The 11,859-nt window shown below is 37.3% G+C and overlaps 1 protein-coding gene across 10 annotated transcripts in view; it reads left to right on the forward strand.

Moving 5' to 3' along the window:
- The window catches only part of WASF3 (WASP family member 3), a 149,810-nt gene that overhangs the window by 126,568 nt on the left and 11,383 nt on the right, over window positions 1-11,859 (forward strand). For 6 of the 10 annotated variants that reach the window (XM_024449315.2, XM_047430060.1, NM_006646.6 and 3 more), the window contains 3 exons: window positions 1,811-1,964; window positions 6,166-6,283; window positions 10,843-11,018. In XM_024449315.2, coding sequence (XP_024305083.1) covers window positions 1,811-1,964; window positions 6,166-6,283; window positions 10,843-11,018 — 448 coding nt within the window. The remainder of the gene's footprint in view (window positions 1-1,810; window positions 1,965-6,165; window positions 6,284-10,842; window positions 11,019-11,859) is intronic. The other 4 variants (XM_047430064.1, NM_001291965.1, XM_047430063.1 and 1 more) reach the window with 1 other exon arrangement.

Genomic DNA, 11,859 nt, shown 5'->3' on the forward strand with positions numbered 1-11,859 from the left:
TTAACTGATAGTCATTTGATGATACACCCTGAAATTGTCAGTTTCAACAAAATTGAAACTATCAACGATCCCTTTTTTAAAATTTTACTTTCAGTATCTTGAATGAAAGACTCAGATTGAGCTGGAGAAAATATGCTTAAAAAGTACAAAATATACCACTTCATATTTATTTTGAGAAAAATATTTAGGTTAAAATTTAGTTTTACCTTTAAATAATGGCAGTTAACAATTGCTCTTGTTGCTTTGAAAAGATCCTAGTGTCTGATTTTTGTGCTATATCTATAGAGTAGTATTGGTAAAAATAATGCTTTTATTTTTTAAAAAAAGTAGTTGTGGAATTCATCTCTCATCATTTAAAAAATATATGTTATCTCATGTTCAGTCTTTTTCAAAGGTCAAAATTTGATTAGTGAATTACAAATATAACAAAAATGTAAAACATTGATTTTAATATTCATTATAGAAGCATTCTTACTTTTCCAACAATAAGTATTAGTTGGTCTGTTCAGGTAAGGAATTCTTAACATTTTAAACCAATCATTCACGTTTTAAATTAGCTATTCATCTTTCTTCAACTTTTTGTTGGCTGTTGCCGTTAGAATGCTTATGATAAACCTTACCCTAGAAAAGATTAATTGGTAAATTAAATTTTATGAGATTTTATAGTACATGTCATATCTTTAAAATCCTTTTCCAAACAAGATTTTACCTTATTACTTTCCTTGCCATGGATGTTACAGTAGAAAAAATACTTGACTGACAGGAAGTCTGTATTCTGTTTTGGTCTTGCCACTTTTTTGCTGGAGTTTTTGGAATCTTAACATTTCTGAAGCTCAGCTTCAGTGGTTGAATAGGTAGGTTAATAGCCTAGTCTGTCCACCTCAAAAAGTTTGATGAAAGTCAGATGAGTTGGCTGGGCGCGGTGGCTCACGCCTGTAATCCCAGCACTTCGGGAGGCCGAGGCAGGCGGATCATGAGGTCAGGAGATCAAGACCATCCTGGCTAACATGGTGAAACCCGGTCTCTACTAAAAATACAAAAAATTAGCCGGTCGTGGTGGCGGGTGCCTGTAGTCCCAGCTACTCGGGAGGCTGAGGCAGGAGAATGGCACGAACCCGGGAGGCTGCACTCCAGCCTGGGTTACAGAGCAAGACTGTCTCAAAAAAAAAAAAAAAAAAAAAAAAGAGGTGAGTTAATAAATGAAATGTAAAGTGCTGTACAAGCACAAGAAAGAACTTTACCCAGCCCCAATTTTCTGAATCCTTAGTGTAATTTTGTATCATCGATCAAGCTACTTAATTTTTGGGACTAGATACATGTTGAAAAGCTTTGCCATTTGCCATCTTTCCTTAATGTTTGTTTCAGAAAAACTTAATGTGTTATTTCCATTTGTGTAATTTTTGCAGAAGTATTTCCCACATGCATTATATTTAAACTAATGTTGTTTGAACGGTGTTTTCCTTAGGATATTCAAATCTGTGCATTTACATGCCTGTTACATTCATAACTATATTCCTATGTGATTTCTGAGAAATGCTATTTAAATAATGTTACTCTAGTATTAGGTTCAGTGAAATAATTAGATTACTACAAAAAAAAAGCCATGATTTGACCTCATTTCATAGTGATAGCTATTATCTGTGAAAGGAAAGGAATGCACATGCTCTTAAACATGGTTTTTAAATGGACAATAAAAAATATTATTTGGTTGTTCTAGGAGGTGTTTTTAATTGTGAGTCAAATGGTATTTACTTCTAAACAGTTAAAAATATTTCTATATAACTCAACTTGGGGGATTTTCTCTAAATAGTCTCACTACAGGATATCAACATGAAAAAAGCTTTCAAAAGTTCCACAGTCCAAGACCAGCAAGTGGTTTCAAAGAACAGCATTCCTAATCCTGTTGCTGATATTTACAACCAGAGTGATAAGCCACCGCCTCTGAACATCCTGACACCATACAGGTATAGCTTCATGAGTCCCAGAGCCTCTCCTTGAGATGAGGGGAGAGCTGGGCAGAGCTGGGAGCAAGCTGATGCATTGTGTGGGAATGTCCTTGATGGTTCATCTGGGTTAAAATCAGAATTGCTTCAAACTTTGAAAATAATGATTGAATTATATACAATGAAACTACTCATTGGTACATAATTATTAAAGTTACAGTATTTCAGCATATTGATACGTTTAACAGTAGAAATGTGAGTTCTGATTTTAACTTTTAGATGTAGCTACCTTAAGTAGAAGTGAGTAAGTTGCATAACAGTATTGTGTGTGGTTATGTTGTTGTTTTTAGATTCGAAGTCAATTAGGAACTGCATAATTCATTTATAATGCAGCAAAATACCTGTTTCAGCACTGCAGAGACATTTGATATTTAATTCAGAAAAAAATGTATTCTGTAGTGTTAGGGGTTTTGAAGAGTGAAAATATAGTCAGCAAATTAACCTTCTGTTACTGGAAAATGGTAGGACACGTTATCAGGACGAGACTTCCAAGAAAAACAATGGAAAATAAATAGTGCAAAAAAATAATATGAAGAGACTAACTAAAAATGCTCTTTCTAAACACCCCTCCTGCCTTCTCCCAGCTCAGCACTTTCTTCCCATACCTGCTGTCACCTCTTGTCCCATATCCCTCTTTCACACACTGTCTCTCCATCCCTTGTGGTATGTCCTGTCCTCTCCCCACCTCTGTACCCTCTTGTGGAGCTCATCCTTTGGCCTCTGACAAGCACAGGCTGTGGTGACCAGTGGTCCTCACAGCCCCGGGCCAGCTCTCTGGTGATTCTCCTGTGAGAACCTTCCAGGAGCCTGCGAGTTCTCCACTTCCATTACTACCCTCTCAGCAGTCCTACCCTCAGGGGCCCTTTGGCCCATCTCAGGGAGTGCATAGAATTTTTCTTGGTCCTAATTCCTGTCCTTTCTCAGGGTCCACAGGGAGATGTTTGGAGCCACCCTTTGTTGCAGCTGTGCTAGGAAAGTGCAGTTCAAACTACACCACTTTCTTTCCGCACAGACAGGGAGAGGCTCTCAGAAAAACAGGCCAAACTGATGGCAGAGGAGCAAGATGCCACGCCTTTTTATGGAAAAAGTAGACTTTTCTGGAGGTTTTAGCACACTTATTTAAAAAAATTAAGAATATGTATGAATATAGCATTATGAGCCAAATATTTTAATTTATGGCTTTGCATTTGTTCAATAGGCATTTTCCTGGGGCAGTTTCATTTTTACTTAGCAGTGAAGCCTCAAACACAATGTAACATGTAGGCTTGCTCATGAAAACTTTCTACCTGCCGTTGCTAAGAAACCTCACTGGAAATTCTGTTCTAAGGAAAAAAAATCAGATAACCCAATGAACCACTACATTGATTAGATCATGATAAAATATTTGTAGTGATTTATAGTTGTAGTGATTTATAGTATGAAAACTGATTTGACTTTCACATATATATGTGTGTGTGTGTGTATTCAGTCTTATGGAAAATAAAGCATATCTTTGACTTTTTTTTTTTTTTTTTTTTTTTGAGATGGAGTCTCGCTCTGTCGCCCAGGTTGGAGTGCAGTGGGGTGATCTTGGCTCACTGCAGCCTTTGCCTCCTGGGTTCAAGCGATTCTCCTGCCTCAGCCTCCTGATATCTTTGACTTTTTAATAGTGTGTTTAAGGATAGCAGTGCCAGCCCAAATTTGCTTTTTCATTAATATAGCAATATTTGGGGTATATAACATATAAATTTTCACATTTGAACTTAAATATGGCACTGTAACAATATTGTCTTAATATAAGAAGTACAAAGTGACTGAAAAAAAAATTTTTTTTTTTGAGACGAAGTTTTGCTTCACTCTTGTTGTCCAGGCAGGAGTGCAATGGCGCAGTCTCAGCTCATTGCAGCCTCTGCCTCCCGGGTTCAAGCGATTCTCCTGCCTCAGCCTCCCAAGTAGTTGGGATTACAGGCATGTGCCACCAAGCCTGGCTAATTTTTGTATTTTTAGTAGAGATGGGGTTTTACCATGTTGGTCAGGCTGGTCTCAAACTCCTGACCTCAGGTGATCCACCTGCCTCGGCCTCCCAAAGTGCTGGGATCACAGGCATCAGCCACCATGCCCAGCCTAAGTGACGGAAAAATTAAGTGTTTAGAAGCTATAGGAAACAACAGATGCTGGAGAGGATGTGGAGAAATAGGAACGCTTTTATACTGTTGGTGGGAGTGTAAATAAGTTCAACCATTTTGGAAGACTGTGTGGTGATTCCTCAAGGATCTAGAACTAGAAATACCATTTGACCCAGCAATCCCATTACTGGGTATATACCCAAAGGATTATAAATCATCCTACTATAAAGACACATGCACACGTATGTTTATTGCAGCACTATTCGCAATAGCAAATACTTGGAACCAACCCAAATGCCCATCAATGTTAGACTGGATAAAGAAAATGTGGCACATATACCCCATGGAATACTATGCAGCCATAAAAAAGAATGAGGTCATGTCCTTTGTAGGGACATGGATGAAGCTGGAAACCATCATTCTCAGCAAACTAACACAGGAACAGAAAAACACTGCATGTTCTCCACTCATAAGTGGGAGTTGAACAACATATGGGCACAGGGAGGGGAACATCACATACCGGGCCTGTTGGGGGGTGAGGGACAAGGGGGAGGGATAGCATTAGGAGAACTATGTAATGTAGATGACAGGTTGATGGGTGCGGCAAACCACCATGGCACATATACCTGTGTAACAAACCTACATGTTCTAAACATGTATCCCAGAACTTAAAGTATAATAATAAAAAAGAACGTATCTGTTTATATTCTTGTCAAGGTTAACATTTGCTTACTTAAGTGAGTTCCCGCCTTCATGAAGGTACTGGCTCCATTTTTTAAAAAACAAATGTACCTCTTATATGTCTTAAATTTTGCAGCTTTTTCTAGACCTCTACCTATTCAAGGCCTTGGTATCTTAGGGAAACAAATTATCTTTTTCACAATAATGTTATTAATAAAATCTCTATCATGCAGGTTGCCTATCAATTAGGAAACTAGGAAAAGAAAGGAAGGACATTAATAGTCAAAGGTTAAGGTATAGTGTGAGTTGCACTGGCTCTTCAGTGATTTTCAGACATAGCGACTAGAATAGCCCCATAGGCACCCAGGCCTTTGTATTTGATGGTAAGACACTTAACAGGAGATGGCATAGCAGGGGCTTTAATGACAGACCTTTGTTTTCTTCTGAACAATTAAATTAGCCATTGACTGTTTGGGCATAAACTCTCCTATACTCATTTAACTGATTTTGCTTCCCCTGTGTTCCTTAATGACTCATTGAAATGCTGATATGAAGTAATATAAAATGTTCTGCCTCCTTTTGAAGGTAGTCTTCAAAAGCATTAATAGAAAACAGTGTTTACTTTGTATCATGATGGTTTTGATCATGACTTGATTTATATGACAGTTTTGGACCTCTGCTAGCTCCATCATTGGTTTTATGATAAATGAGCTACTTATATGAAGACTTAAAATATTCTTTAGACCACAGTAATTGCCTGTGACAGTGCTTTAAAATGAAATGGCCACAGGTGAATAAAGTTTCTGTGTAGGTTACTTCCAGTTTGAAAATACATAGTTCATCACTATTTTTCCTTACATTGATGCCCCATAAACATTTTGCTTCTTTCCTAATTGAACTTATAGATGTTGGGCAAACCTTATTGAGAAAAAGAGATAAGAGTACTTACTAATTTTTATCCTAATGATATTGAAGCTCCAGTGTAGAAGTGAATGTGTTCTTAGTAAGAATCCATCCATCTCTGTGTATGGCCCCATGTTGGAATAAGCAAAAAATTTCCTGAAGTGATTGAGATATTATAAATTGCTGAATATGAGTCATGTTGTGATTTTTTTTTTCTGAGCAATTTTCTATACTCAATTCTAAATTTGCAAGAGTACTTTTAACCTACAACAGGTTATTCTACAACAGGTTGCTATTTTATGTTTTCACATTTTTTCAAATAAGGAAACTTAAAGACTTAATATGTGTAGGAGAGTTTAAGTGCCCCATGTAGATGTTATAATTTCATGAGTTCAAATCAAGTTAACATTAACCTACATATAAAAGTCTCTAACAATCTTTTCTTCCCTGACTTACAATACATTGATTTGTAGAGATGACAAGAAGGATGGGCTGAAGTTCTATACTGATCCTTCCTATTTCTTTGACCTCTGGAAAGAAAAAATGCTACAGGACACAGAAGACAAAAGGAAAGAGAAAAGGCGTCAAAAGGTAAATAATTTCAGTATGGGAAATGTGCATATCAGTGTTCAAAGGAGATTCTTGTTTAGAAATAGTAAATTATTTAAATGGTTGAGATATTGGATATAGTGCTGAAGTTTTTTTAGAGGTTGCATTTCTCACAAAAGATCCTGACAATTCAGTCAAACACAGTAATACTATCTTCAATAAATACTGATATGTTCTCCAGCACTTGCTTTGCTTTAACAAAAGTAGTTCCTAAACTTTGTTTTGTTACCATGTTTTAGTAACTCCTCTCCTGCGTTCTCAAATTTTTGTAAAGCAGTCAGTATTCCATATCAGATACAATGATCATGCAGCACAATGATGTGCTTTTGTCTTCTTAACATTTTTAATTGTTTGGTTGCCTTCTAGCTGTAATTAAAATCTTGGGAAGATGTTCACATGGGATTGAGAAGCATATGTGATTTGCACGTTCAGCGGATAGGATTTACTGAAAATGAGCCTCCCTTTAAGGGGTAGGGGTAGGAAGAGAATTGCAAGTTTGAAGGTTGAGAAATATCTGCATGCATTACAAGCAGTCTTCAAAGGAGAAGCCCACTCTACTCAGGTTAAGGGATTTGTGTTTTGAAAATTGTTCGTTTTGGGCCCAGAAATTAGACTTAGGCCACTGAGAGGAATAATTCTCTAAGGGCAAGTATTTATTAATATTTTTATATGTCAGCTGTATTTAAAAATGACCATCCAGTTTGCTTTACAGATTAGAGCGCTTTATTTAGGAGAAATGCTTAGCATTTTGTGAGTTGATAGCCTTAGGGTTTTGAGGCATTGAGGTGTGTTGGCCCAGTAGGAGTGACAGTTTGGTCTGGAGGAGAATTTGAAAATCGAAAACAGCATTAAAGGGAAGAGAACATGAGAACAGTTTGCAGACTGTGCTGTTGTAAGACACCATGGCTGGTTCCGGGAAAGAGGATGCAAAGGACTTGGTCACACACAGTCTTCTTGTGCTCATGGCTTTGGGAGATTTAATTGGGATATATCTTGGAAAAGTTGCTAGGTTTTGCAGAATATTCAAGTGAAGAAAAAAGAAAGATACCAATCTTTTGAGTGGAAAAGGAACAAATATTTAAAAAGCATATTTACCTTAATCCTCATGCTTTTTTATAGTTACAGGGGAAAATGCTGGGGCTTACCTGCCTTTAAAATGTGCCTGTTTTTTTAAAAGGCCTTCTAGGTTTCCTTTCTCAATGATGCTTTTGGCAAAACTGTTTAATTTTTTGCCACTCTTCTTGAAGGGGAAACAATTTTTATGTATGAATATTATGTCTTTAAAATCATTTGTTATTTCCTGTGCTGTTTTGTCTCATTCTACCTTCCTCAAACACATAAAATTCTGATAAGAATTTCTTTCATTCACTTATATAATGACTTGATGTTGAATGCCTTCTAAATGCTGGATAAACAGTGGCAGAAAAAAACAGGATTACCACCCTCATGGAGAGGACAATATAGTGAGGGACACAGGCCTTAAATAATCATGCAGCCCTCGGAAATGCAGAAAGAGGGAGAGAAGTTTCAAAATGTTCATATAGGTCCGCTTCATATGGAAATAGAAAATGAGGCAAGATATTCTTTATTTCCCAGGATTTCAGAAACCCAAATCATGCTCAATTTGCAGTTGACAAATCTGAAGGAAAAATTAGTTTAGAAAATTTGGGGATTAAAAAACCCATGTTTTTGAACTTTTGTCTCCTTTAGTTTAATGCTTTAAAAGCCTTAAAAACTTAATTACACAAATAAATATGAAGTTTTAAATATGTAGTTACACTGTTGGTAAGTTTAGTGAAGGACAAGTACAGAGCACTCTGAGTGAGATGACCTGGTGTGTGACAGTGTACACACAGTGAGGGGTCAAGGAAGACCTCTCTAAGGAGGTGTCATGCAGGCTGGGTTCCAAGGGAGGGTAGCAGAAGTTAGCTCAACAGTGGGAAGGTGCTACGGGGAGGCTGGAGAGGTGTGGGGGGCAGATGAGGTGGCGTGCTTCCGAATTGAGGAGGCTTCTAGGTAGCAGTGTCTAAGATCATCCTGGGGGAGGAACCAGTTTGGCAGCTTCTAAGGATTTTAATGTAGGCCAGTGTAGCTGGAGCCTGGATTCATCACTGTTCATATTCTTTCATGTTTGGTTCGCATGCGCTTGTGTGTCCTGTGTGCATGTTGATAGGTAGATTTGGAGGCTGAACCATGGTGAAGAAAGTTGCAAATATCATAACACTTCATCCCTGAATTTGTCAGCATGCATCTTTTAAAAAGTAAGGGGAATAGTTATTCATTATTTTTACACTTGATCTTAGCCAAAAGGCCGAGAAGCGATTATTCATTATTTTTAATACGATGGTTCTTAATCAGGATGCATATTGGAATCACATTGAAATCTTCCTCCCCCACTTTTTTCCTTTGGTTTTTCAAAGTACACACCCAATACATGCTGGTTGTAAAATACTCAAATAGCACTCCCTTCCCTGGGAGTACCTAGCCACGGTTAACAGCTTGGTGTGCATCTTTTAAGACCTTTTAGCATTCATAAATATTTGCATAAACATTTTACGAAGTATTTGTGTATACATAGTTGTACTACATATGACTTACATACACACACTGACATTATTAAAAATGTACTTCATTCTTTTTAATAGTTGTGTAGTATTCTGAAATATAAATGCTTCATAAATTACCCATTACTGTTGCTCTTACAATACTGCAGTGGTTATCCCTCTACTTAGGTGCAGATAATTCTTCAGGATAAATTTCTAGAAGTTGAATTGCTCTTATTGAAGAGAATGTGAATTTTAAATTTTGAAAGATAGAATTATATTGCCCGTAATCTTTAAAAGACTGAAGAACTAGTTTATGTTCTTACCAGGCCTTCTCCAGTCCTGGATATTACTTTCTTTTGATGAAAGATTGAATGTGTTACATCGTCTCATATGCTTATTAACCATTTCTTTATCTTCTGTGAATTTCATGTTCACATCCTCTGTGGATCCATGCCTAAAGCCTCCGGGATGCCTCTGAAAACGGTCCAGTTTTCTGTCTTCACCACACCCTTGGGCCACCTGCTGTTCTTTCACCCTATACCCACTTAGTAGCTTTCTCACTTGTGTCCCTATCTTCCCTCTTTTAATTTGTTTTCTGTAACACAGAGAGATCTTCTCCAATGCCTTCTCAGCATGTCAGCCTTCCCTTCTTGTTCTTTAATGGGTTCGCATTGCTGTTGGGATAAAGGCCTCTAAGGTCTTCCTGCCTTTCAGATCTTGGGCCATTCACCCCAATGTACCATTTACATTCTTTTATTTCTTTGAGTGCAGTGCTATCCTCCTCCCCAGAGCTCTCACACAGTCTGTCCTCTCCTCTTGGCAGGCACCTGACCCATACTCCTCTGCAGAATTGATGCCACTGTCAATACACTTTCAATACTCTCAGTCATTCCAGGATGCCTCCCTGACTTCCAGACTAGACACACATACACACACACACACACACACACACACACACACACACACACACGTATATATTTAAACATAAAAATATATTTGTGAAAATAAATACATTTATTTTTATGGTACATTTATAATAGTACCTTTATTTGTGTCCTCTTGTGGACTGCAGGCTCCATGAGCACAGATGCCATGTCTGTGTGTGTGTGTGTGTGTGTGTTTGCCATTTGTGTTGTCAGTGCCTGGCGCAGTACCTCGGGCATAGCACTAGAAGTTCATGCTTGCTGCCTGGCTGTGGATTTGATCATTTAGCCAGCATGTATTGAGTGTGTATTCTGTGTAAAAACAGTATGTTGAGATACCATAAGACAAGAGGGAAACGTAGGAAATAAAGACACATGATTCTCATCCTTAAAGATCATAAAATTTTGTATAGGAGGCAGGAAAAACTTAGAGGCACACATAGAAATAACTTCTCACGTTTCAAGAAGCACCTGTTTAAGAACTAAGTATTTGTTGAATGAAACATTTTCTGGCCAAGTAGGGCTAGAGGAAGAATGGTGCTTTTTATGAGCAGGTAAGTTTTTATCTTGCTTAATTTTGTGTTAAACTATTTACAGGATTCACTTATTCCGTAATCTTTTAGAAATTGGGAACAGAATGTTTTGAATTATTTTCTTTGAAAGATAATTGTACGTTAAGAAGTCAGTCAAAATTGTGTGGTGGCGGGAAATAATTTCTCTTTATGGTGTTTCCAGGTTGTTCACCCATGTAATATAGATCTGAAAGACCTTGTTTAGGTTTAAAACAAGTTACAAGCATATTCAAGTGAAAGTTTTTTTACTTTAATGAAAACGATGGTAAGCAACTCTTAACAGTTGTAGCAGGGTAACTTTTTGTTGATTCTGTTTTGTTGGTTCTGTTGGGTAAGAGGAGTGCACTGCTTTAGAGTTTCTGTAACATTAGGGTAATCGAAATGCGAATGTGTCTTGTCTGTTCATCAGGCATGGGCCTTGTGCATTATAACTGCATTTAACCAGCTGTTTTCCTTTCCCTTCTGTCTTGGCATGCTCTCTTTCCTTTCCTGGACATCAGGAGCAAAAGCGTATAGATGGCACCACCCGTGAGGTGAAAAAGGTTAGAAAAGCCAGAAACAGGCGCCAGGAGTGGAATATGATGGCATATGACAAAGAGCTTAGACCCGACAACAGGTTGTCTCAGAGTGTGTACCATGGAGCGTCTTCCGAGGGATCCCTGTCCCCAGATACTAGGTGTGTGTGTGTCACTGCTCCCTCAGCCCTGATGCTTGGGCAACTGGGTACTACCTGGTTTTATTATCATTTGAAATGCATCAATAGCTTCGGGGTTTATATGGCCCTTGATGTCTTAAGATTTTCCTTAAAAATTGTTTATCTGTATTTTGATTTTGAAATAATACTTGAAGACAGTGTTATTTTACATTGGGTTCCTTTGATTTTAGAAAATCTCTCTGACTTAAAATGTATTGTTGAGTTCATCTAGATGTAGTGTTTTAACACTGATTCTGAATTTGGGGTAACTGCTTATGACTTAAGTTTTTACTTTAATAATCATTTAATTCTTTCTCTTAGCATGGAATGTTGAATTTCCTTTGCCACTTGGTATCTAAAAATGATTGGCAGGTGGTAAAGTAACTAAGGAGTACCTTCATTGTTCCTTTAGTAACCCTTTGAAAAAATGATGAACAAAAGAGAGATTTACTTCTTATTTCAGATAACTTATATATTCTGATTTCAGGAGAAGAATTCTATTGGCGTTTACTTAAAAATTTATTAGCAGTTAAGTAAAAATATTTCTTGCAGGCGTGAATGATGTGGTCATTAAGTCACACTTGTCACCAAAGGCATTCATTGAACAACAGGAAATGACTAGTCAATTTTAACGTTTGATTCAGTTTTCTATTTCTGCTTTTGTAAAGTTGTAGTCTTCCATTTGCATAAACTCTCATCGGCATTTAAAAATTTGAATAGAGAATTCTTACAATATGTGATCAAGAATGTTTCAAAACAACAGCAACCTGGACTTTGGGTTGTATCTGTGCCCTTTTTTTCTACCTTTGTAAAACTCAGTGTT

The sequence above is a fragment of the Homo sapiens genome, chromosome 13 (genome assembly GCF_000001405.40).
Source record: "Homo sapiens chromosome 13, GRCh38.p14 Primary Assembly".
NCBI classification, from domain to species: domain Eukaryota; kingdom Metazoa; phylum Chordata; class Mammalia; order Primates; family Hominidae; genus Homo; species Homo sapiens.